Source organism: Homo sapiens, chromosome 20 (assembly GCF_000001405.40).
Source record: "Homo sapiens chromosome 20, GRCh38.p14 Primary Assembly".
Taxonomy (NCBI): domain Eukaryota; kingdom Metazoa; phylum Chordata; class Mammalia; order Primates; family Hominidae; genus Homo; species Homo sapiens.
The window spans coordinates 20,677,962-20,705,697 of record NC_000020.11 but is presented as its reverse complement, the minus strand read 5'-3'; the positions used below and the strand labels follow the sequence as shown (position 1 = coordinate 20,705,697).

The window sequence follows — 27,736 nt, the reverse complement described above, 5'->3', positions numbered from 1 at the left end:
GACTCTCAAAAACAAAACAAAACAAAACAAAACAACAACAACAACAAAACTTGACTTTCAAAATAGCAAGTTGTTTCAATTTGAATTTTAAAAATTTTTTAAAAGAAGGCATATAAATTATTGTTCTGTGAAATTAAGAATAACGAATATAAGGTATTAAACAACTATTCTTGTACTTGAATTAAAAAAAAATCAAGCTGGGTGCAATTGCTCATGGCTGTAATCCCAACACTTTGCTAGGGTTAAGTGAGAGGATCAGCCCAGAAGTTCAGTACTAGCCTGGGCAATATAGTGAGACCCCTTCTCTACAAAAAAAATGAAGAAATTAGCTGGGTATGGTTGCATGTGCTGTGGTCCCAGCTCCTCGGGAGGCTGAGGCTGGAGGATCACTTGGGCCCAGAAGGTCAAGGCTACAGTGAACCTTGATCATGCCACTGCACTCCAGCTTAGGTGACAGAGCAAGACCCTGTATCAACAACAACAAAAATCAAGTCACAAACATTGTTTTAAAGACTGTGTGAGTGCATGCCTGATATAAGTAAGTCTGTGTTTGGATGTTAATAAGGCACAAGCCCAGGATTTATGGTTTGGTAGGAGAAATAGCCATGTAAACAATGAAATTTACCGTGAGGGTTTTGAGTGGCACAGAGGAGTGTGGTGGAACCATAGAGGTGGGCACAGGTGCAGAGGAGGAACAGCAGCAAAGCCTCCTGGAGACACCAGCCAGTGCTTCTTTAGGGAGCTTAGGTCTGAGGTAGGTTTTGAATAATGGATAAAGGATTTTACCAGATGGACAAGTTGGGGATGAGGGTTCTGTAGAGAGAGGAGCTTGTGCAAAGGTAATGGTGTGTAGCACCATGGAGTTAAGTGCACAATGGCTTTTATCCTGTGGCGTAAGTAGATGTTGGGACTCCAGTGAAGGGTTTTAAGCAGAAGAGGAGCCACATCCTATCTCTTCCCATTTAGTGTCTGAGAATCCCATTCTCCTCTGAGATTTGAAACATAGATGCTGGGAGAGAGAGAGCTCCCTTCCTTTGGATTGCAAGCCCTGAAGATATAGTCTGGGCTGCTGGCATTTGTTTTTCCCACCATGTGGGGAGCATGTGCCTTAAATTGAATCCTACTCTCAGAGGGAATGACAATAGAGAGGTGGAGAGTGAGAGGAAGCCCATGAGTCCTGAGTTTGGCCATGTCTTTGCCAGGACCTTCTTGAGCTGCTCAGTTGCAGGAACTGGTAACATGTTAACTAGCTTGAGTCATATTTCTGGGTCTTGGAGTTGAAAGAGTACCTAACATGGAGGTGTTTGTGTATATGGAGATTTGACTTTTATATTTTTTTAGAACTGGAGGAATTTGAGTTTATATAGGAGAAGTAGCTAATGAAGAGCAAAACTGAAGAAACGGGGGATAATAATGCAGAACGGTGTGATCTGCAGTGAGACTGAGAGCCTGGGGTGGGAGATCAGGCTTAACAAGAGGGACACCTCTTCCTCTAAGGCCACTTGAAAGAAGCAGGAATGGGGTGCTAGATGATGGGGACATGGAGGGAGTTCTCACACCATGGCTTCTGTACCCTCTGTGAAGGTAGCAGGTGAAGTCATTTGCTGAGCCAGTTTTCTTACTCATGTGGTGATAGGAACTTGAATATGTCTTGCTCCCTCTTCTGTGCCACATAACCTCTTAAAAAAAGGACATCTGTTATCTGGAAGGCTTTGTTTTTTTTCCTTAGGGAGTGACTGAAAAATGCATTTAACGTTTATGTTAAATATTCATCAAGAAGGCGGAAAATCTATATAGAATGAGGCCAGTTTAAGTAGCACAGATGTTGTGTGCCCTTCCACTCAATGAACATGTGCCCTAGAGTGGACCTAAGGTGGGACATAGGAACCCGCCATGTCGTCCATAGTCTTCTTTCCTTTATGCCTTTCATTGTGAGAACATCCCCCTGCTGGGTATGACTCCAGAGTTAAAGGATCATTTTAATTTTTTCTACTTTTGCCTTTCTTGTGACTTAACCGCATATAAAATGTAACTCTGTTGATATCTCATGTTCATGTACCAGTTTACACTTTTGCAAAATGTCTTCTCATAGTCTCATTTAATCAAATTACTACCTTAAGCAATCAGTTCATATTAATTATAAAAGAAATTTATTAAATATCTATTTGTGAATGTATTTTAGGTGGTCTCTAATACAGGTTATCTTTACATAGTTAAAGCCTCCTGGATGTGTCAATACAAATAGCATTTTCAGGTGAGAGGATCCAGAATCCGCTAGCAAAATCTAGCAATTGAGAATTTGATAAAGTTAAAATAGGAATTTTAGAGAGATTATGTCATTTAAAGGATTTACCATATAGATTCTTAGTAGATTTGTTTCTGAGTTCATTCTGAATCCTCAATTCAGGGTTTTAGCCTTAATTTTCAGAAAAGTGATGTTTCATAACCATTTTATGTCTTTTATGTTGTTTTAGAAACTGAAGCCACAGCTATTTTAAAAATAGTTGTAATCTCTTTTTTTTTTTGAGATGGAGTCTTGGTTTGTCACGCAGGCTGGAGTTCAGTGGTGCAATTTCGCCTCACTGCAACCTCTGCCTCCTGGGTTGAAGTGATTCTCATGCCTCAGCCACCTGAGTAGCTGGGATCACAGGCTTGTGCCACCATGCCTGGCTAATTTTTGTGTTTTTAGTAGAGACAAGGTTTTGCCACGTTGGCTATGCTGGTCTTGAAATCCTCGCCTCCAGTGATTAGTCCGCCTCGGCCTCCCAAACTGCTGGGATTACAGGCCTGAGCCACCATGCCTGGACAAAGTAGTAATCAAATTTTGATATTACAATTATGGTTAAGTTAAAAAAATCCCTTTTGATAAAGTTCAGGAGCCCATGGATATTGTGTTTGATTTCAGGTGATGACACATATTCATTGAACCTTAACCATGCCTGAAAGTACAAGCATGGTACTTGTGACATTGCTTGTGCCTGACTATGAGAGCCATAAGAATGTGCTGCTTCTCCTGTTGTGGGGAGCATGATTGACTGATGGCCCCAGCTGCTGCTCCCTGAATCTACCAATTTTGAGCCAAAGCTTAGTTTCCCTTGGGAAGCTCTTAGCCCATTACTGAGCACTGCAGGAGTATTAATGCTGCCTGTTCCTGCACACTTCAGATGCCTCTGAAGGGCCACTTTGGCTTGAGGACTTCCTATTGGCCTAAGACCTTCTCAGACCTATGTTGAAGTCTGACACTTCCTACTCAACCTTCCTTCATTCCCCTTCTCCTTCCCAGGGGTCAGACCTGCATCGTGGTCTAAATCCTCTCCCTGCCTTCACCAGCTCCTTCTCATTTATCCTTCATGGGCATTTACCCCAATAAATCTCTTGCATGTCTAATCCTGTCTTGGCCTCTACTTCTCAGAGAACCCACACTAATCTACCATCCATTTCCTGGATGGTGTTGTCCATCCTGCCATCTACAGTTTTTCCAGGAGACATTGCCAACACTTTTTATCTTCCATGTGGGCTTTCTTCATCCTCTTGCCCTGAATGTATCTCTTCTCAGAATTCCCACAGCACTTTGTAGCTTTTGTTTGGTATTAATGGCCTTTGGCTTTGCACCATGCTTCTTTTCTTTTCTTTCTTTCTTTCTTTTTTTTTTTTTATTGAGATGGAGTCTTGCTCTGTCGCCCAGGCTAGAGTGCAGTGGTGCGATCTTGGCTCACTGCAACCTCTGCCTCCCAGGTTCAAGCGATTCTCCTGCCTCAGCCTCCCGAGTAGCTAGGATTACAAACACCTGCCGCCGCGCCTGGCTAATTTTTGTATTTTTAGTAGAGACGGGGTTTCACCATCTTGGCCAGGCTGGTCTCGAACTCCTGACCTTGTGATCCACCCACTTCAGCCTCCCAGAGTGCTGGGATTACAGGTGTCAGCCACTGCGCCTGGCCGCACCATGCTTATTTATTTATTTATTCTTTGAGATGAAGTCCTGCTCTGTCGCCCAGGCTGGAGTGCAGTGGCACAATCTCCACTCACTGCAACCTTCACCTCCCCCGTTCTAGCAATTCTCCTGCCTCAGCCTCTCCAGTAGCTGGGATTACAGGCATGTGCCGGCTAATTTTTTTGTATTACTAGTAGAGATGGGGTTTCACCATGTTGGCCAGGCTCTTCTTGAACTCCTGACCTCGTGATCTGCCCGCCTTGGCCTCCCAAAGTGCTGGGATTACAGGCGTGAGCCACCGCGCCCGGCCCACACCATGTTTATTTGTGTTCATGCCTTATCCGTGTTCTTTCCCACTAAATGATAAGTGCATAGAGAACCTGAGCAGCTTCTTTTTCATCTTGATTTCTGTTGGTAACTTACTCCCTTATTTCAATAATAATAATATTTATTTAGTACTTTTTATGTGCTGAACAGTGCCCTAAATATTTCTACATTTATTAATGCATTTAATCTGCCCCAAAGAGATAGGGAATATCATTATCCCTATTTTACACATGAGATACAGACAGGTTAAGAACCTTGTTCAAGGTTACACATCCAATGAGTGGCAGAATCAGCATTTGAACCCAGGGAGCTGGCTCGAGTTCCTTTATTTATTCAGCAGTTATATGTCCAACACAAACTACGTGGCAGACATTGTGCATAGCACTAGGCATACCAGAGCTTGCAATCTTAGTTTAGAATAAGTAACTTTTTAAAAAAAACCCACAACAACCAAAAATGTGATTTCAGAATAGCTAGATCTAAGTCTACTGGGGAGTTGAGCTGGTCCGTCATGGCTTAAACAATTCCTGAAAGCCTTCCTGCCCCAAAGGCTTGTTTTCATCAGTCAGAATTTCCCAACATTAAATTAATGATTCAAGATCATGAATTAAGAGTGGTGGTTTCTCCCAAATGAATTCTCTAATCTCCTTTGCTTACACACATTCATTATCAGACCAATCCCTTGGATTCTAAGGGGAATAGATATAAGAAAGGACTATTTCTGTGAACCAAAGGGAGAAGAGATTGGTGTTCGTAAACCTTGATGGGGTTCGGGGGAAAGAGGGGCAGTAATGCTGGAGAGCTGTTGGCAAGGGCAGGCTTAGGCAAATTCCCCAGATAGTCTTTCATGAGAACAAAATTGGAGAGACATTATTGTAAAGTTTTAAATTTATGAAAACCAAAACTGAGTCACATTCCCCACCCCATCCCCCAATCAAAGACCTGTTACAGCTAGTGAGGAAATTGTTTTTTTACATTTCAACTTTTATTTTAGGTACAGGGGGTACATGTGCAGGTTTGTTACGTGGGTATGTTGTGTGATGCTGAGATTTGGGGTATGGATCCCGTCATCCACATAGTGAGCATAGTGCCCAATAGGTTGTTTTTCAACTCATACCCCACTCCCTCCATCCCCCCTCTAGGTAGTGTACGGTGTCTCTTATTGCCATGTCCCCTTGTGCTTGGTGTTTAGCTCTCAATTACAAGTGAGAACATATGGTATTTGGTTTTCAGTTCCTGCATTAATTCGCTTAGGTTTATGGCCTCCAGCTGCATTCACGTTGCTGTAGAAGACATGATTTCATTCTTTTTTATGGCTGTGTAGTATTCCATGGTGTATATGTACCACATTTTCTTTATCCAATCCACCACTAATGGGCAGTTAGGTTGATTCCATGTTTTTCTGTTGTGAATCGCATGGCAATGAACATATGAGTGCATGTGTTTTTTTTGGTAGAATGATTTATTTTTCCTTTGGGTATATACCCAGTAATGGAATTGCTGGGTCAAATGGTAACTCTGTTTTAAGTTCTTTGAGAAACTCAAAACTGCTTTCCACATTGGCTGAGCTAATTTACATTCCCACCAACAGTGTATAAGTGTTCCCTTTTCTCCACAGCCTCACCAGCATCTGTCATTTTTTTTAACTATTTAATAACCATTCTGACTGGTGTGAGATGGTATCTCATTGTGGTTTTGATTTGCATTTCTTTGATGATTAGTGATGATGAGCACTTTTTTATATGTTTGTTGGCCGCTTGTATGTCTTCTTTTGTGACATATCTGTTCATGTCTTTGCCCATTTTTTAAATGGGGTTATTTGGAAAAATTTTTAAATGAAATCTTTGATAGTGTTTTCAGAACTGCATGGAAGAGAGGGGAACTGAAGACATACATTGCTTCTTTACAACTTCTGTTAGGGATTACCGTGTTTTATTTCTGTCTGGTCATATTCCTGGTGTAAACAGTGCAGACTCTCTCTCGATTCCATGGACTCTATAGTATCTAATAAGATGAGGATGCATTTGGCCAGTTAGGCTTGACGTGGTATAGCTTATGCTGAACTCCTGGAGTGGAAGTAAAATATCCTCTAGTCTTTCTCAACATGTGTCTGTGTCTTTGTCTGTGTGTGTCATATTGCAAATATTTATTTTGGAAAGAATTGTTCCATTTCTCTTTCCCTGCTCCTAAAATAAATAAATATAGAAACAGACACATCACCTTTGAAGTAAAAAGTAAATAATGAACTGGAAAAATATTTGAAATTTATAAGAGGAGAAATAGTTACATACATAATACATAAAAAACGTGTAATTAACCAGAAAAATTGTGATAAATAAATGTTCAAAATATATGTATATGTAAATTGCAAATGGACAAATGCCAAGACCCATAAGAATGTTTTCAGTGTTTATTCCTCACTAGTAATCTAAATATATAAACTTAGAGATTAAAATATATTCATCCATTATATTAGCAAATTTGCTGTTGTCTTTTTTCTCTGATGATAGTATACTGTGTAAGCTGTCTCCATTTTTGATAGGACTGTAACTTGGAACAATCTTTCTGAAAAGTCATTTGTTAATACAGATCAATGATCTTTGAAATGTATATCCCATTTGACCCAGTTTCCTCTTTCGCAAAAGCCTATTCTACCATCAAGAAGTGCTTTGCAGCATTGTTTGAATGTTAATTTTTTTTATTGATGTGAAATTCACATAACATAAAATTAATCATTTTAGACCAGGCACGGTAGCTCACGCCTGTAATCCCAGCACTTTGGGAGGCTGAGGTGGGCAGATCACCTGAGGTCAGGAGTTTGAGGCCAGCCTGACCAACATGGTAAAACTAAAAATACAAAATACTCTACTAAAAATACAAAAATAAGTCAGGCGTGGTGGTGGGTGCCTGTAATCCCAGCTACTTGGGAGGCTGAGGCAGGAGAATCACTTGAACCCGGGATATGGAGGTTGCAGTGAGCCAAGATCGTGCCACCACACTCCAGTCTGGTGACAGAGCGAGACTCCATCTCAAACAAAACAAAACAAAGAAACCAAAAACCAAAAACCTTGAACCCAGGAGGTGGAGGATGCAGTGAGCCGAGATTGAGCCACTGCACTCCAGCCTGGACGACAGAGTGAGACTCTGTCTCAAAAAAAAAAAAAAATCATTTAAAAGTAAACAATTCAGTGGTGCTTAATACATTAACAGCATTTTGCAACTGCTACCTCTATCTTCTTCCAAAACATTTTCATCACCCCTGGAAAACTAACCATTAAGCATTCACTGCTTATTCCCTCCTCTCCCCAGCTCTTGACAGCCACCTGTATGTATATGTTTAACCAGACTAGGCTTTTTTTTTTCTTTTCTTAATTATTCTGCTCCACCAGGAGGGTAGTATATGTTGAGTACATTTGTATTTGTAATTCTTAGGACTTTTAGGTTGCAAGTGGCAGAAACCCATGCCAAAGAGGATTTAATGACATACGTAACTAAACAGTCTAAGGGAGCGTTTGGCTTTAGAGATGACTGTCCACAGGGATGTATGTGGTCAGGGTACTTACCCAGTCTCATATCCACTCTCTTTTCCCACCTCCCAACTTGGTGGAAAATTGTCTCTACCTTTGGTTCCGTGTTTTTTGTTTTCTGTGCTTCTGCTTCATTCTCAGGCCAACTCTGCCAGGTACAGGTGTGGTGGTCTCTAGCATTGCCAGCCTGACATGTCCTGGCAGCTAGTAACCCTTGAGAGGAGTGTGGCCACTCCCCTAGGGCCTGTACCCATTCCTGTACCAATCGCTGGGTGAGGGAGATGGGGTACTGTGATTGGTCAGCCTGGATCACTTGTCCTGTTCCTAGAGATAGAACCTCATTCTGGCTCCTGTCTTTCCGAGAAAGTAGAGGAAAGGCATTCTGGCACATTACCTCCCACAACAGAACTGCTTATAGCTCTGCCCACGCCCATTTGTACCACATGACATTCATTGACTTTTGTGCTAATAATCATAAAACATTGAGCAAACCTTAGATGACATTCTGTAAATTCTATTTAAGATTATGGGAGTCATATTTGAGGATTATTTTTCTATTTTTTTAATTAAAAAATTTTTTTTGAGATGGAGGTCTCACTCTGTCACCCAGGCTGGAGTGCAGTGGTGTGATCACAGCTCACTGCAGCCTTGCTCTCCCAGGCTCAAGTGAGAGGATTATTTTTCTAGTTTGATGGAAGTAAAGCGTTGCCCTTTTAACAAATGGGATTGACCACTCTTTAAGTCTACATAGCTTAGACTGTTTCCACTGTTTTTAAAGTCATTCCACATATAGTGACTGAGTGTCTGCTATTTGCAGATGAAGCCCTAGCACTTATGGGACTTTCATTCTATTAGGGTGGATGGACAATAAATAACAGGCTGGGTGCAGTGGCTCATGCCTGTAATCCTAGTACTTTGTGAGGCCCAGGCAGGTGGATTGCTTGAGGCCAGGAGTTCAAGACCAACCTGGCCAACACAGTGAGACCCCATCTCTAAAAATCAAGAACAAAAAAACCAAATAATAAATATATGATACAATTTCAGGTAATGATGATAGAAAAATTAAGCTTGATAAGGGTATGTGTATGCTTATTTAGATATTGGGGTGAGGGAAGGCCTCTCTGAAGGGAGGTTTGGACTGAGACCTGGGTTAAGCAAGGGAGCAGCTTTGTGATTATTTTTGGGGAATAGTGTTCTAAGCAGAAGGAACAGTAAGTACCAGGATCTGAGTCATAAATAGACTGGAAATCTCATGGAAGTCAATAGGGGTGGAGGGGTGGAGGATAGAAGGAACTGGGAAAGGAGCGGGGGTGGGAGAGGGGAAATAGGGATAAGATGGTGTGGAACTTTGGCATCCCAGTAAGGACTTGGGATGTTACTCTAAGTAAGATAAGATGGGGCACTCCAGTGAAGCAAAGAGCAGAGGAGTGATCTGAACTGACCTTTAGGTGTAAAGGAATCAATGTGGTTCCCTCATAGAGACTACACTTGCTTGGTTAGCTTGCCAGAGATAGGTTTTCTGACCACAAGCTTTGTAACAAAGCTTTCTTTGGCTTACTTTATAAAAGGTCAGATCTTTGGCCCAAAAACCGACCAGTGACTGGAGGCAGACAAGAGAAGAGGGAAGAGAGAGAAAGAAGTGCCAGAGAAGAGGAATGAGTGGCTGTGGAATCTGTAGCAAGCAAAGGTGTTAAGGAAGATGGGGACAGGCAGCCTGTGTCCCTCCTTACTGCAGCAGCGAGTAGTGATGAGAAGACAGGACGGAAACACTTTGTGGCCAGTGGGACAGGAAAGCTGGAGTACATTGGGCCATGTAATGGGCCCACACAGCGGCCTGAGCTTGTAACAATATGGAGACGGGCTTGCTGTTATCCCCAAATCTACTGACAGGCAGAGAGCAGGCATATTAAAAAGTGCCCTTGATGCTGACAAAAAAAAAATGGAGATCTGTCAGTGGCTGGAGAAGAATGAGACCAGAAAAATGTTGATGGGTCAGTACAACAACAATTTAATATGAATGGTTGCAAAGGCAGCAAACACTGCAGATTGGCTCCACATCAGATATCCACCCAAATTAGGACCCCAGTTGTGCTTTATGTTGGTCTTTTCTCAATGGAAAGACCTGAGGGAATCTTAATCTTTGGCTCAGTGTTAATTGCAAAGATGTAATTCTATGAACCAGTGTTGCTAACTGAACCTTATGTCTTACTCAGAAAGGTGGCTGTGGTGTTTCAAAATATGACAGTATTAGGTTAGCTACATACAGGAGGACAATCATTTGTATTCTTCCAGAGACATCATTTCTGAGCATAAACCAGGTCTTTAGCACTTTTATAGTGTGCTATGAAGAAGCTTCTGTTCTGTCAGTTGACAGTCAGTCAGCGTCAGGTTTAAGCACAACAAGGAAAGGTTGACTCATATGGACTAAGGCTCCCAGGTCTTGGGAATGGGTCTCATTGTGACTGGAAATTTCATCACATCTTTGCATTCAAAAGTGTCAAACATTTGCTCATGCCTACTCAGTGCTAGCTGCTGAATGGCTGGACAGAGAAATGTCTTTCTGCCCAGTTCTATTATTTTTTATCCTTTTCAGTGAATGATGTCTAGAGAAACACAAAAACAGCAAAGCTTCTCCAGATAACTAGGTCATTCTAAGGCATTATGTACCATGTATGTGCTGTTACAGAAGGAGTAATTTAAAAGTTGGATAGAGAAAATTTAAGTCATTTGCTGTTTTTTACAACATTTTAGAATTGGTAAAGATACTCTTTTATATATTGTTTGGGTCTTAAGATTTCTTCAAAGTTGAAAAGTAAGACAGGTTTGGAAAAAAGTATGGCCTGGTGTCATGATTGATGAGTTTTTTGCAGTAAATATTCAGGCTTTGAAAAAAATCCCTTTCTCGAACGCCCTGGAAGTACCCCCCAAAACAGCTTTATAGCTTTTTCTGGTTCTACAATTTTACATACTCATTATAAACATTTGGATAATATGAATATATGAAAAATAATTTAGGTATCAAGGGGTTCTCAAATTCTGCAGTCCCCTGCCAAGCATTACTGAAATCCCGGTGAACGTGCTTTCCAGGCTGGCTCTTGCTTGGGTGCATTCCTTTCTCTCTCTCTTCCCTGCACCTGCCTCGCTTACACACACAAACACGGTTTTACATGAATAGTCATCTGCATGGTCTAACACTGTGTTTTTGACTTAAAGCCTTGGATATTTTTCCACATCAGTAAGTGAAGAATTACATAAGACTTCAATGGCTGTAGTGTGTTCCACTGGACTCCTATAACAAAATTCCCTATCACCCATCCTTCAGGTCATGAGTTTCAGGCCTTCACATGCTGTTAGCAGATTGTGTGCCTGTGAGTGACTGCCCAGTGACCAGAAGGGCCTTCGTTTTCTTGTGTTAGGGACACAGCAGAGATGACAATATTGGAGGCTGCTCACAAGCTGGGATAATATGATGATTTCCTGGAGGTAAAGAGGGTTCCTTGGGGAAAGCCACTTCAGTCTTTACTGAGTTAATTTCACAGAAATGCCACCATTTTGAACTGTCTAGGAGGAAGGTCATTCCACCTGCAAACTGGCTCTGGTGTACTTTTTAAACAAACCAACTTCTGGGTGTACTTTTGTATTTAATAACTATTAAGTTCTGTGACTTGTACCATATCTCTCCTGTGTTCTTTTTGTTTTACAGCAAAATAAAACAAAATAGATTTCCAGGCATGCTTCCCTTAACCTCCTCCCTCACTTTTTTTTTTTTAAAGTTACGGTATCTTTTTTGAAATTTTTTCATTTTTTTTGAGACAACGTCTAGCTCTGTTGCCCAGGCTGGAGTGCAGTGGCTCAATCATGGCTCACTGCAACCTCCACATCCCAGGCTCAAGCCATCCTCTCATCTCAGCCTCCCAAGTAGTTGGGACTACAGGCACACGCCACCATGTCCCGCTAACCTTTGTATTTTTTGTAGAGATGGGGTTTCACCATGTTACCTAGGCTGGTCTTGAACTCTGGGCTCAAGTGATCTGCAGGCCTCAGCCTCCCAAAGTACTAGGATTACAGGTGTGAGCCACCGTGCCCGGCCAACTTTCTATTAGTATTACACTTAATTGGGTGAACAGTATGGGAGCCTGACTGTCTGGGTTCGAGTCTTGGCAGTGACCTACCCTTTCTAGTGGGGGTAAGAATGGTACCCACCATCCTGTGGTTGTTGGAGGTTGAGTCAATGTATACAAAGCTGTTTTGTGAGCTGTTATTACTGTTAATCATAATTATTTGACATGAGACATTATTCGACAGCTGTAAACACTCTCCTCATCACTTTCCTGCCTCCTTAGTTAGAGGGGTGGAGGTGACTACAGCTCCTAGGCTGTAGTCATTTTATTTCTGTCTCCAACTTTTCCCCTCAGGAGCGATTTTGATTATAATGTAGGCTAGCTCCAATTCAGATCAAGAAAAGGAGGTCCAAGTGTGCATTGACTTTAAAATGTCTAATGAAACTTGATTCCTGATAGATAAATATATTAAAATGTAATATAACTCACATTTGATTTGGATATCAGTTTCTATAGTGTGTTTTATTATATTGGTATTTGATATCTGTTAAAAACAAAGTTTTAGAATCCTGTATTTGAGAAACGTGTGTCAAAAATGTTAAGTAAAAATAGCTCTACTTTTAAAAACTTTAACACTAAGTATTTGGACTATATCTTTATACAGAATTACTTTTACACAAGGACTATCACTCCTGGATAATGGAGTGTTACTATTTATCTGATTTCTAAGAATTTGATGTTCTACATCTGGTTTACTTTATAGGAATAAAGAAATGAAAACAATATGCTTTCAGAAATGAAGTAGGATTAATATTATAATTTCTGTGATCATTTCAGTTGACACTAGTGTTTGTTTCCTGTTGGAATTGGCAAATTTTATTTCAGCTGTCTGCCTACAAGGATATTTTTGGTTGTAAGTAACAAAAAACTCAAATATAAGCAAGTAATAAGAATTTCTTTCTCCTATAAAAAGAGGTCCCAAGGCAGGGAGGCCCCAGAGTTGGCTAATTCATGAGTTCGGTGATGTTGACAGTCCAGATGCTTTCCACCTCTTGGCTTTGCTATCCTTAGTGTGGCAGGTTTGTCCTCAGGGTGGCAAAATGCCCACAGCCATTGCACCCAGATAGAATGATATCCAAAGGCAGGAAAAAAAGGCACACTTCTTCCTTAAAATCAGTAAAGCTTTTCTCAGCTATCTTCATCAGACTTTCTGTTGTTTTGTATTGATCAGCATTGGGTCACAGGCTTGAGTCACTGGCAAGGAGCATGTTGCCACCATAATTGGCTCAGCAGTATCAGGTCCTCCCTCTGGGGCTGCGAACAGGCCAGGTTCCGAGAGGGGCACTGCTTTGTGGAGGAGGAGATCCCTGAGCAAATGGAGGCTCTATTAGGAAGAGGGAGGGTCTGTTTGTGGTTGGTGGGTGAGGTGAAGGAGCTGGAGAGAAAGCAACAGTGTCTGCTCCAGGCTGCTCTCAGTTTTTAGTTTAAAATACTATGAAGAATGCTTGTGGAAATAAATGGTCAGTTATGATAAATTTTTGAATATATATTTATGGAAAATTTTTTTATAATTTAAACAGGTATGTACAACATGGCTGTAATTGTATGTAAGAAACAAACCTGTCAGTGGAGCTAAAAGATGACTTTGTTTCATTTCCTATGGTCGTAGTCCCTTTGTGTTCCTATAAAGGAATAATGGGTAATTTATAAAGAAAAGAAGTTTATTTGGCTCATGGTTTTGCAGGCTATACAAGAAGCATGGCACCAGCATCTTCCTCTTTTGAGGGCCTTAGGAAGCTTCCATTCATGGTAGAAGGCAAAGGGGAGTGGGCGTCACATGATAAGAGAGAGGAGGTGGTGCCAGCCTCTTTGTAACAATCAGTTTTCATGGGAACTAATAGAGAACTCAGTCATTACTGTAAGGACAGCACCAGGATGTTCATGAGGAATCCACCCCCATGATCCATATGTCTTCCACCAGGCCCCACCTCCAATACTGGGGATCAGATTTCAACAAGAGATTTGGAGGGGACAAATATCCAAACTATATCACTTGGAATAGGAATATACACTTTAGGCCCCACCATACATCCAGAAGTTTTATGTCAGGATTCTAGGCTCCCCTTCCTTCTGATGGACCAGGCTAGTGGTGCTTGGACACAGATTACATGGGTATCTGCTATTGGCCCTGGAGAGAAGTGAAAATTGGCCATTGGATTAGCGGTGTGGAACTCCTTAGCACTGTGTCGGGGAGTGGTGTCAAAGCCTGATTGGACTGGATGCTTTTGTTGGGTGGGTGATTTAAGGTGTTTGTTTTATTATACATCATAAATTATGTATATACAAAACTGGTTTTTTTCACATGGATTAAATATTTAATACAAAATTGTAAAAAATCCTTTGTATCCCGTACATGGCCTGTGCTCTGATAAATACTTTCAATTGAATCAGGTTGAAACTGAGACTGGGGTTTTATTGTGTGAATACGTTAGAGGGAGAAAGAGGCAGAGGGGTTGAAGGACAGTGAAATGACTGACTAAAAAGAGGAACTGTGGAAGTTAAATTGAGAAAGAAGGGAAGTGAGGACTTGAGGGGCATCAGAGATAGTGACAAGGTGGTGGGGTTATTGGATTCAAGGACCCAGTAAGGTTGAAGAGTTGTTGGACTTAGGGTTCCAGAAGGAGTGGGCGGGAAGGATAAGAAATAGCGGGTGACGAGAGAGTGGATTTCTTGAAACTGAGGCTTGCAGGTGGGAAGATTGTAAGTAACCATCAGGTCTAGGATCTGGCTGTGGGTGTGGGCGGCAGAGGTAGGGTAGAGGACAACCTCATTAGAAATGGGGGAGTCAGGCATCATATATATAAATGTTGAAACCACCAGGAGTGAAGACAGTGCTAGTAATATACTGAAAGACAGTCGGGCCCTGGAATCTTCGGGAGAGTGTCTTGGGATGTGGGAAATATTGTGCAACTCCAGTCAGTGAAAGTTGGCACAGATGTAGTTGGAGGTAGATGGTGTGAGCAGCAGAGGAGCACTCTGTGTGTGAGGGAAGGACCAGAATGGTCTGGAGATTGCAGTGGGGAGCAAGGGGGCCACCTATCTCATCTTAGGCCTGGTGGTATGTGAGTGTAGGAGGAAGACAAAAGCCTTACCAGGCAGACTGCAAGGAAGCAGTGTGCTGAGGGGACTTCCAGGTTTCAGGTACAGCTGAAAGGAAACAGCCTTTACAGGTGGCATAGAAGACGGAATTTGGTGAGCTTTATTGGATATAGTGGGTGGGAGGGTAGGGTGAGGAAGCTAGGGTGAGATTAGTGATGCCCAGAGCTGTGTGGGGGTGACAGTCAGAGATGAAGATCATGTGGGAATTGGATTTCCCAGGAGATGGATGGAAACCTGAGTGCAAGGCCTGATGGGATATCTCCTGATGTGTACCTAGGGGGTGGTCAATGATTACTTCTAATTATAGTCTCCTTACTGAGTTTGGTTTCTTAGGCAGCTCATGGTAGCTAGGTAAGGAGGAGGGAATGGGGGGTCTTGCAAGGAGCAAGGGGAGGATCTCCCATCACTCTGGTGGGGTGCTGTGTATTAAAGGAGGGGCCAGGGTTATCTTGAGTATGTTATTACTTAAGTTCTGGATGACTTCAGGAGTAATTCCATATCACATGTTTCCAGTGATGTTTATGCTAAAGTGGGTGCAGATTGAAAGTATAATACTTCAGAGAATTTTTCTGAAATACGAAATCTTGATGATATTAGACAAGTGTACTTGTAGAATACACTTATGTCTTTTGGTTCATAAAGCTTTGCAGAAATTCTATAAATAACCTTAGACTGAAAAAGATATGACAGAGATGAGGGGGGTAGTGGACAGGGAAGGTTTGGGGAAGGGTGAGTGAGGTTAGGGGTGGATTTTCTTGAAGCAGAAAATCCAGGAAGGGATTTGCTGCTGGTATTTCGGTTTGTGGGATGGAACTCAGATGACAGGCCAGGAACTGAGGGAACCTCTGCCCTGAGCTGCTGGCTGAATCTGCAGGAGGAGTGAGCTCCCTAACTGAGAGTGTTTATGTTAATTTTCTTTAATTTTTGAAACTCCTTGTAACAATTGTATTAAGAGTCTTTTTTTGTGATCTCTACCAATTTTCCTCACTTTAATTGAGAGGAGGAAATTGCGGGCCTGAGGACATATTGTATTTTTTTATTTTTATCTTTTTGAGACGGAGTCTCGCCCTGTCACCAGGCTGGTGTGCAGTGGCGCGATCTCGGCTCACTGCAACCTCCGCCTCCCGGGTTCAAGTGATTCTCCTGCCTCAGCCTCCCAAGGAGATGGGATTACAGGCGTGCACCACCATGCCCAGCTGATTTTTGTATTTTTAGTAGAGACGGGGTTTCACCATGTTGGCCAGGATGATCTTGACCTTTTGACCTCGTGATCTGCCCGCCTTGGCCTCCCAAAGTGCTGGGATTACAGGCGTGAGCCACTGTTCCTGTCTTATTTTATTTTTTAGAAAGTGTGATTTTGGTAATATTTACTCATAGTTATGCCTTAAGTTTTACATTTGTAGCAGGCATAATATATATGTGTGTGTAAAACAAATATGATGGTGATAATTCCTTGCTGTTTTGTAAAAAATAAGTTGTTAAAAGGTAAAAGAATATAATTAAATTAACATAAATTCACTTAAAATATATCAACAAGTTTAAAAATTTTAGTGCTGAGGAGGATGTTTCTGATTTCAGATTTTTCTTACATAACATAGAGACTTTTATATAATAGATGGTATATAAAAGGTAATTTAACAATATGAATGCTATTGGTAACTTAAGGGATGAACATACATTTGCTCCATCATTCTTTTGAAAATGTTACTATTTACTAGAAATTAATACTAGCTGCAGGGTGGACCTTCATTGCTTGTTACTTTTAGTAATTTATCATCTGTATCTAGGGTAGTAGTCCTGACTCCTGATTTGGAGGAATCTTTTTTGGTCCATTATTGTAAGAGGTTTTACCTCGATTTTTAAAAAATCATTTTTGTTATTTGCTGTGACCTTCAGGAATGCTTGAAAGGATTAATTATGAAGCCTCTCTGTATATCTAAATTCTGCTGTTTGATGTGTTTATTTAGTACACATGTATTCAATACCTGTGCTTTGGCTGAATGGAGACCTGACACTCTCTGCTAACAGTCTGGTCGGGGAGACTGAGGTATAGAAGTAGGAGGGGATCTAAGAGCAGTATGTGAGGAGCTGGGCAAGGTGTCCTTACCTGTGAACTGACTTGTGGGGATGACTAGGGCTTAGCTAAGGGGACTAAGGGGACTCTGTGCTTCCTTCACAGCCCACTTCCTATTCCATCCTTCCCCACCTGGGCTTGTCACACCGCATCTTTGACCAGATCTCGAGTTTCACGCCATGATAGCACTGGGGCTGGAGTCTTTTGTCTGATGCATTAAGTTTTCTGCTTTGTAAATTAGTATTTTCATCCACATGAATACTTTGTATTTGCAAATAATCAGTCCAGGATACTTTTTTTTTTTCTTTTTTTGAGATGGAGTTTTGCTCTTGTTGCCCAGGCTGGAGTGCAGTGGCGCAGTGTTGGCTCACCGCAACCTCTGCCTCCTGGGTTCAAGTGATTCTCCAGGAGACATTTTAAAGTCTGTATTTATAGGCATTTTTCAGATGTGAATTTCTCTTTAATAATGATGATGATGATAAGAGTGTTGATTGGCCATTAAAGCCAGTCATCCCTGGTATACCTCCTGTTTAATGATCTGATTGCCTGCTGAATCTGGAAAGTCTTATTTTGTAGGTTTTTGCCTCCTGATGTAGATAAGCTTCTAACCTGCAGTTAGCACATTACTGCACGCATAGGAGGTACCGAAACATACTGGCTGGTGTCAGGAAAAGGAATTCCTGCCTTCACTCTGGCTAGCATGGATCACTGTTGACAGAAAGTTTGTGTCAGTGGGCAAGCCTCTGTAACTTGGATTCATTTTTCCTGCTTTTCCTTCTTTAATGGAGGGGATGATGTGTTATACTTGGGGGTATCTCTTCATAGGTTTGCTGGCTCTTATGACCAGTGAGGCTGTTCTGTACTGAGTTTCTTCTTCTGCACCACCATTTCTATAATAGTGTTGCATAACAAACCTTCCCAAACCTAGCAGCTTCCGTGAGCTTTACAGCAACAGGCATCCATTTTTCTCCCTCACTGTGTTGGGTCTGTATTCGCTGGGGTGGTTCTTCTTCTCACTGACGGTTGCCTGGGGTTGGCTCCAGACTGGTGGGTTGGGTTCAGCTTTTCATGAATTTTCTCATTTTGCTTGGATCAGCAACTACTTGCGGCTCTCCCAGCAACCACTGCCACATTTTTAAGGCCTTTTTGGCCAAAGCAAGTCAGGAGATCAGTCCTGGATCACTGTGGTTGGGCACCATCCAAATGTGTGGATGGAAGGAAGGAATGATTTGTGGCATTTCTGCAAACTACCCAGGGACCTAGGCAGCTGTTTAAATGTGAAATCGCCAGAATCATATTAGCCTATAAGTAAGTAATGGTGCATTACTAATGATATCCATCCTTGTCTGCATTTTCTGTCTTGTGTCTGACTAGTTCTTTTGCACTTCATTATTTTCCTTGTTCTCACTGAGTGCTTCTGAATGACTGTTTTATTAAGTTGTCAAGTTTGCCTTACATTCTTCACTTACCCTTTTTCCTATCACCAGCCTGTTATCTTGATCATCAGGCCTTCAGTGCCATTATCCAGGGAATTTCACTAAAATAGTAAAGGACACCTATCTTCATCTACACACAGGACTATAGGCAGGGCTTGGATGGCTCTTAGTTCTGGCTTGGGAATGGAGGGGTGTAGGCAGTATAGAAGGTGCAGGGGGGTCATTCCCTATTAGAGGAGAACTGAACACGAGCTCCTTCCTCCCTTGATAGCATCCCACTGGGGCTCCTGAGTGAGATGAGGACTTTTTCCCTTCCTTTGGTGCTTTCTAGGGGTCTGCTGAAGCAGGTTTTTGTGAGACTGTGTTATGACCCTTCCAAATAAAAAGCAATAGAATTGCTATTGAAGAGGATTATATGTGGAAGGAAATAGATGGATAATCCCACTGGTTTTGTGGGTGTGTATACTGGTAGTACTTACTGCTGTATTAGGATTAGTGACCTTTGCCAGGAGCAAAGTAATTCTAAAACTACTGACATTTCTATAATGCTGACTGAAGCTCTTATAAGCATTCTACATATGCTCATTTTATCATCACAGCAGCCGTGTGATGTAAGAACCATTGTTAGCCCTATTTTTTTTTTTTTTTTCTGAGGTGTAGTCTCACTCTGTCGTCCAGGCTGGAGTGCAGTGGTGCGATCTCGGCTCCTCCCAGGTTGAGTCAATTCTCCTGCCTCAGCCTCCCGAGTAGCTGGGATTACAGACATGTGCCACCATACCCAGCTAATTTTTGTATTTTTAGTAGAGTTGGGATTTCACCATGTTGGCCAGGCTGGTCTTGAACTCCTGACCTCAAGTGATCCACCAGCCTTGGCCTCCCAAAGTGCTGGGATTACAGGTGTGAGCCACCATGCCTGGCCTGTTAGCCCTATTTTTAAGATGAAATTGAGGATTGGAGTGTTTAAATAACTTGTCCAAGGTCCTGTGGCTTCTGCATTTGAATCCAGGCAGTCTGCCCCAGAGGTTTTGCCCTCAACCTTTGCTGTTGCCTTCCAGCTAGATGTGGAGAAATACTTAATCAACAAGAGGTTTAGCTGGACAAAGGAGTGGAAGAGGGTGATTTTGGGTGGTATGTAGAAGATTATCTTTGGTTGGTGGTGCAGGAAAATGAGAAGTTAAAGGAGATTTCTTTAAAAATTCAGAAATGACCTCTAGCTCTGCCAGGCTGTCTGCCGTTTGCTTCTCTGTGGTTAATTTGGACATGCTTCCCTGAGTTCTGTAATAGTAGTAAGCCAGTGTGCTAGCATCCATTCCATGCCAAACCCTGGAAGCCATCCCTTCAAAGGCGGGTTCCCATCTGGACTCTGGAGCGTGGCCTTGCCCTCCCTCCCTTTTCCCTACAGCCCTGAGAGGCTGTGGGGCAAGTTCCAGGAGCTGCTTCTTCAGTGTCACTCAGTCCTGTTTCTTACCTTGGGCTTTTCCTCCTGCTCTTTCTCCTCTGGCTCTCCTGCTCATCCTCAAGGTGATGATTTATTTCTTTTATATTCCTGACTGATTTATTCCCATTTGTCCCTTTGTACCACTCAGTTATGGAGTCGCAGGACCAGAGCAGGGGTTCTGTTGACGTCCCCAACAGGCTGTGTTACCTTGGGCAGGTCACTGGAGATCCTGACCCTGAGGTTTCTTTCTCTTAATCACACCTGCCCATCTATTTCATTGGGCTATGGTGAGGGTCAAATAAAATAAACTCATGAACATTTCCTTTAAAGCATAACACATGACATAAATGTATGACATTAGCATTCCTAGCTTCCCCATGTGGCCTTGTCCACTCCCTGTTTTGGTGTCCAGCATGGGCTTCAGCCATGGTGCCTGTTCTGTTACTTGTTTGTTTACCTGTGCACCCCTGAGGGCCTCGGGTCTTATTCTCTTTGAATTTTTTAAAGCTTAGCACCGCACTTGTTGACATGGATAGGGGCTAGTAAATGTTTGAATGAGTGGGTCAAGATTGCCTGTCTGAAGGAAGTTTGTGGTCATAGTTGTCTTTTTTTTTTTTTAATTGAGCAAAGCCTTCCTGTTATATCTCTGTTTTTCTTGAAATTAGCCTTGTTAAAAATTAGGCTTTTGATCCTTTCTTGTGTTTCTTTTCGCAGGTTGCTAAATTCCATTGCCTGTGATTGTCTTCCCTGAGACCTATGCTTGCTTTATAAATATTCTTCTGATGAGTCTTTTAAAAAAAGACAAATCAAGAAATGATTCTAGATTTTGAATTAAAGATAAAATATCTGATATTTGTTATTTGGTTATTCATTTAACAAATGTGTTAAGTACCTTTCTTGTACCAAGCTCCGTTCTTCAGGCTGGGGATGCAACAGTGAACAAAGCAGATGAGATTTCTGCCTTCATGCCGCTTACATTCTAGCAGCCAGACAACGAGGCAGCAAATTAATAAAGGGATGATTTCAACTCTTCTGAAGTGCTGTCAGGGGGAATTGTGTGAAGAGCGTGCCCAGACCACTGAGGAGTTCTCAACACATGTACATAAACTGAGTGTGCTGTAGATGCTATGCTTCTGGGTTCACTGTGTTTTGGGTTCCCTGGAATGTATCTAGTTGTCTTGTTAGTGAGTACTTAAGCTCAACACCACCAATGCCTTATCCACAAGAAAGATATTGGATGGCTGAGGATAAAGGTGGTTGTTACCTGGACTTTTGGCCTCATGAGGACATCTCAGTGTGTAAGAGGGATCCTTAAACATGCTGAGGACCCTCTTTGTTTGGTTTGCTGATACTTGAGTGTCTGAGGGAATGAGGGAATAAGGGAGGGAAAGATGGGGACTTGTTGATCTCCCAGTAGCTTTCTGTGCCAGCTTGCTGCATCAGCACACCCACCTCCTCCATGCTAGAGAAATTGTTTGCCAGCTTATGGCATTCTGAGGCACGTTCACTGCAGAGCCTACCAAGAGAGAGGGCCGGGGGGAGGAGGAAATGTGGAGTGACACATGGGGGCACTTGCAGGTTTCTTTGAGGAAGTCATGTGTGACCCAGGTTCTGAAAGAGGAGACCTGTTGATTAAAAAAATTAAAGTTAGTTTTATTCAGAAGTCTTGCTGAGGTTCGCAACCAGGGAGAGTCAGAGAGTGTCTGTTAGACTGTTCCAAAGTAGTGCTTTAGCCCACAGTTTATATACAGGTGGCGCACTCTGCATGTGCTCAGAAGTTACATTAAGTGTGCTCAGAAGTTACATTAGAGCAAAATCTTACCAAGGTTTGGGTGTGAGGGTCCATCTGGTTATAGATTATAGAGGCGTAGTCATTAATCCTGTCAGATATTATCTTATATACAGGAAGAGGCAAGGGCTAAGACGAGTGTATCTTTTTTGAAAATGTGGTGATTCAGGCAGGAGATGTGGGAACCGGTGCTGTATCCTGCTTATCATCTTCAGGGCATTCTTCTCAAGGGCTGCGCCGAGTCTTTGAGTCAGGGGCTTTGTAAAATTCTGCTGGCAAGGGGTTTTGTGCAATTCTGCTGTTATGTAAGCAGGATGAACAGACATAGTGTCTACATTTGCTACTTTGTCTCATACACTGAACCAGCTGCATGAAGATCTGGGAGTGGGGGTAGCATCCTGCAGGGGCCCCAAGTGAAGAATATGTTCGGGAAGTTTGGGGAATGGAAAGAATCCACAGTGGTTAGAGGATAGGGAGTGAAGGGGAGAGTGGTGTGCAGTGAAGTTCGTGTTGAGTGGGGGAAATCAGGCAGGGCCTTGCCCGGCCATGGTAAAGAGTTCGGATTTTAAGTACTACTGGAGGCAGATGGAAGGTTTTGAGTGGAGGAGTGGTCTGATTTGACTGACTCTATTAAATATTCGAGTTGGCCGCTATGGGGAATGGAAGAAGAGTGGAAGCAGGGAACCCAGGCAATGGGCAGAGGTCACAGCCTGTGTGAGGGTTCATGGCCACACAGACCAGGCAGGGCCGTGGAGAGCAGAAGCAGTCCAGGGCTGGAACACGTACGTGTTAAAGGCAGGCTAACAGAATGGCATACTGGGGATGGGTAGTGAGGAATGATGCCCAGGCTTTGGCCAGAGCAGCGGGGTGGATGGAGGTTCCAACTTACTGGGACGGAAAAGCCAGAGGGAAGAACAGGATCTGATGGAGGACTTCCCTGTGGACGTGTTTAATTTGAGAGGCCTTTAAGACCCTCACGTGGAGAAATCAGCTGGCAGCAGTCTGTGAGACTAGAGCCCACAGTGGGAGATGTCAGGGCTGCAGATGGAAATCAGAAGTCCTCAGCAGAGATGAGATGAGATTTGTCTTTTGATTGCCCCAAGGATTGAGGGTTAGGCTATTTCTTCCCTGTAGGTTTATAAGTTGTAGTCATTATTTTATCATTGTATGTGTAGGCTAATTCATGGATTCTCAATTCAAGAAAATATTGAACTAAATATTGTGCTAGATGCATGGGACATAATGATTCACGAGATAGACTGTGGGTTCTGTGAGGGCAGGGAATATGTCTCATAGACGAGACAGATTATTCCATCAGAATTAAGTCAGGAATTCAATCAGAATTCCACCAGAATTAAGTAAAGTGTGATGTGTTCTGTGACAGGGAAGCATAGAGTGGGGGCCACACAGCAGAGGTGCAGACCTAGTCTTGGGGGTAAGATGGGGATGTTTTAGCTGACTAGTGAGGGTGAGTAGGAGCCAGCTGAGTGAAGCTGGCTTCAGAAAGAGGGCTCAGTTAGTGGTAGATGGGCTAGCAGTTTGCATTAGAGTTGAAGTGTACTGAACTCTTCCTTGGAACTGGCAAATTCTCCACAAGGCACTCAAGGATTCCTTGTCAAGATTGTATAGATCATAGGAAGGTTAATATTCATGTGGGTTGGTGATACTAGTTTCATTGCTACCTGCTTTCACACAGTAAATTTGTTCCTTGCTAGGAATTTTCACAGCTGTGTGCCCAGTTTTATTTTGGTGCAGTAAATATAGTGTGAAATTGGCAGCTCATAAGACTTTATAAGCACCTTACATGCATTATTTCAAAGAGCCAGGGCACATTTTTGCATGAAAAGCTCTTATACAATTATCAGAGAAAAACAACTCTTCAGAATCATCTGCATTATTGCTAACGTTATATAATTTGAAAATCATAATATGTATGTTCACATAGATTCACAGTGTTAGGACTGCAAAAGCAATTGGTACCACACTGTTACAGACTGAAGAGCAACACATTTTTTTCTTGAGTAATCCTTGCAGAATTTTAAGGAAGCTTTTTATTGTTTGTTTGTTTGTTTTTTGCTTTGTTTTGTTTTGTTTTTAAGAGACAGGGGTTTCACTCTTGCCCAGGCTGAAGTGCAGTGGCTCAACCATAGCTCACTGTAGCCTCAGGAAACTCCTGAGTTCGGGCGATTACCCTGCCTCAGCTTCCCAAGTAGCTGGGATTATAGGTGTGAGCTACAATGCCTGGCTCCAGAAAGCTGTTTTTACTTTTCCTCAGATGCTAGTGTATTCTCCCAAAGTGCCAACTCCTTGGTCAGTACTCTGTAAATGGCACAAACAACCTTGTTTACTGAGGAAAATGTACAAAGGTGTGTTGACAGTGGATAACTACTTTGAGCCCCCAGCATTGTGAGGTTTTACCCTGGCTGATCGGGGCCCTTGGAAGAACTGGCTGTATTGCTAATCAGCCCCAGTGGGAGTTGTCACTGTGCTAAGTTCCCCACACCCCCGCCTATCTATCCGCAGTCTGTGGTTTAGCAAAACTGTCTAGTACAAGAGGGGCAACTCTAGGAACACATGGTAGATCCTACAGTGTCCATACATGAGTGGGGGCAGGTCATCTAGAAGCTTGTGGTTGGGGAGCATGTGCTAGTTCACTTGAGCTGGTTTCTCTTTTCATGCCCAGAGAGTTATGTTGGTGGGGAGGGAGCAGAGATTGGTCCATTTAGGAGCTCCACCAGCAAAGTTGTTTTTCAGAGGTACAAACCCATCCCTCTTCACGGCCTGTGTCAAAAACTGCCTCCTCCATGAACCTCTACTTCCTCATCCCGTAACAGGAAGTCATGTCCCTCCCCAGACCTGCCCCTGCTTACCTCCAGCCTTCTAGCTGGTCCGTTGTTGCTGGCTCCTGTCAGCTCCGACCTCCCTGAATTGGCTCCACGGTCTCCTGAGCAGGGCTGAGTGGTGGGTGGTACTCAAGGTTCAAGTAAGAACTCTCTTAGGTGGAGAATAAACAAACAGGAATACTGTTTTGTTTTGTATTGTCTTATAAGGGAATGAAACTAGTTGTACTTGCCTTCTTTTCTGAGAAGTTTGTTTCTAAATTCTTGTGATTTTATAAAGTGAATTGTCATAAATGGAAACTTTTTCTTTTCAGATAATGTGGATGCAAATGATCTTAAGCAGTTTTTTGAGACCAACTATTCTCAGATATATTTCATCTTCTATGAAAATTTTATAGCACTGGAAAATAGTTTGAAATTAAAAGGTAAGCATTTCAGTAGTTTTTTTTTAAAAAACATTCGGGCATTTTTATAAGTTGTATATATCATGAGCCACAAATTATACATTTTTAAGCTTTCTTTCTTGCCAAGCCTTTAGCAAAGCTGTGAGAGCATGGTGGACAGGGTGGCATCTTTGTTTCTCTTGAGCTTTCACTTATATGGATGTTAATTGAACAACACATGGCTAGCAAAAATAGCAGAAGGAACCCTTAGAAAGCATGATTTTCAAAGGAGTAAGTTACTGAAAAAGAAAGAAAAGTAATACATGCATACTATTAAAAAAATTTAGATTCCATAAAAGGGTCTGAAATGAACACTCAAGTGTCTGTTTTGCCCTGCTTGCAGAGGCAACCACTATTAAAGATTTCCTGCATCTCCTTCCAGATATATTATTAATGTATTATGTTTATATATGTTTGTGACTATATTCTTTGAAAATCAAACCAACAAGGTCACATTATACATTCTGTTCTGTATACATTATACATCCTGTCACCTAAGTGGTAGGATAGTGTAGCCTGGGGAGCCAGACTGGGTTGGGAACCTGGCCCCACCCTTCTAGCTGTTTCTCCTTGGGCAAATTAATCTGTCTCTGAGCTGGCTTCCTCCTGTCAGCGTTAAACAGGTTCACAGGTATCCTAGCATTTTAGGACAGAGTTTGACACATAGTCCATGGTCAGTAAGTAGTAGCTGCTGTCACCATCTTCTTTCATTTTCATGTAGTCTGTGGGCTGAATCTGAATCCCCACAGCTCTATGAAGTAGATGTCATTCATTTATTTAAAAAATAAGCCATATGCATAAATAACTGTGAAAAAAGTTAAAAAGTCAGTTGTTCTGTAAGAGAGATTTAGACAGAATTCTGTGGTTCTTGGGAAGTGGGAGAGATGACTTCCTGCTGAGTATATAGATGAGGCTTTGGGGAAGAGGTGGCCTTGGGAATGGACCTTGAAGGACAGCAGGATTTCAGGTGGAAGAGAGCGGCACTGCTGCTGGAGGGGAGAACATGAGTAAAGGTAGGGCTGTTCTTACGACATGTATGGGAAATGCATTTTTTTTTTCTTGCAGCAAAGGTGTGTGAAAGAGATTTGCAGGAAATTAGATAATGCTTGCAAGGAGCCTTGAATTCTAGGCTAAGGAGTTTGGACTTTGTTCTGGAGGTGGTTAGAGCTCTTGAAAGTGTTTGTTACTATCACAAGTATCTTGTAAAGTAGCGATTGAACCAGAGGCAAGAACACCAATTGGAAGGCTGATGCTGTCATTCATCTGAGGGATGGTGATGCCTGATCCAGGGAGGCAGTAGTTAAGGGAAAAGAAAAGTGTTGTGTCTCAGTGGGTCTACCATCTATGAGACTTGGTTATAAGGGAAAGGGAGAAGTCAAAGATGCTTTCAGGACACTGAGTCTGCTTTGTGAGGTGCCATTAGCGCAGGAACCCTGGAGGGGAGCCAGATTTGGAAGGCAGGAGGGTGAGAGTGGCTTTGGGCAGTCTGTGTTTGAGGTGCATGGGGGATACCTTGGTGTAGGTGTTGGCTGGACAGTACAATATAGGTGACTGGAGCTTGGGAGAAAAGAGGTGAAATCGTGTTATTGCCAAGGGAAAAAGTATATACAGAGAAAGAGAGTGATGGTCAGAACTTTTAGATAATTCCTTATTTTATTGGGTATATGCAAAGGAAAGCGATGGAGTAGTAGGAGGGGTACCAGGAAAGGGTTTTGTCACAGAGGACCAGGGGAGAGAGAATTGAAGGCATGTAGAGTCAGCCTATTGGTGCATGAGGTGCAGCTGGGCTGGGGAGTAAGAGCTCATCAGTGTGGTTGTTAGTGAGTGCGGAGAGAAAGGTTCTAGGTGAGGAGCAGGTCGGAAGCCAAACAGATGGACATGGAGTCACAGGGCGGTGAGCTGTTGAAGGTGACCCATGAGAATATCCTTTCAGAAAGTTTGATGTGAAGACACAGATTGTATCTCACCCTGGTCACGGGAAGGTTATTGAGGAATGCATTGGCCTGTTTGCAGATTGAGGAGTGGGTCAGCTGGAGGGGGAGATAACTAATGGTGCAGGTGTTGGGGGAAGTGAGTTGAGACAGGTCAAGGAAAAAGAAGAGACATGGAGAGGAGCGTACAGGTGACCTTTCTATGTAAGGAGGAGCAGATAAGGGGATAGTGTAGATATGGAGACATTTTGAGGTGGAGAGGAAAAATCAAGGGACCCCTTGTCAGATGCCCTGATTGCTCCTGTAGAACAGGCAGTTGTCAAGCATGGAGTGGAAGGAATTCAGGGTGAGGCACTGTGGTGGTCTTTGATTGTGGCCATTCTTGCAATCTACTGCAAAGAATCATAGTGAAGAACCAATAAAAATAGTGAGATTTTTGAAGTCTTTTGCTTTTAGTATAATCTGTGTTCGATTGGAGTGCAGGGAAGACACTGTACCTTAAAAAAGAATAAAAGAAAATGCCTACAAGGAATAATGAAATAAATAATCTTGTGATAACTTGAGCCTTTGCAGTTATTCAGGCCAAAACTCCGGAGTTATTGGCTCTATCTTCAAAATACATCCAGAATCACCGGCCTGTTCTCATTGCCTACACTGGTAACACTGAAACTCCTGATATCCTCACCTGGATTATAGCATTAGCTGCAGAAATGGTCTCCCACCTCCACACTTGTGCCCTCTCCCATCCCATAGTTTCTTGTCAAAAGAGCAGCTGGAGTC

General features: G+C 42.5%; 1 protein-coding gene across 18 annotated transcripts in view; it reads left to right on the top strand.

Moving 5' to 3' along the window:
* RALGAPA2 (Ral GTPase activating protein catalytic subunit alpha 2) overlaps positions 1-27,736 on the top strand; it is a 323,115-nt gene that overhangs the window by 6,947 nt on the left and 288,432 nt on the right. For 17 of the 18 annotated variants that reach the window (XR_007067471.1, XR_937111.3, XR_007067470.1 and 14 more), the window contains exon 2: positions 24,897-25,007. The exons of the other annotated variant lie outside the window; for it this stretch is intronic. Coding sequence is in view for 9 of the 17 variants with exons in the window: in XM_005260768.3 (XP_005260825.1) it covers positions 24,897-25,007 (111 nt within the window). In the remaining 8 variants the exon portion in view is untranslated. The remainder of the gene's footprint in view (positions 1-24,896; positions 25,008-27,736) is intronic. 18 annotated transcript variants of the gene reach the window in all.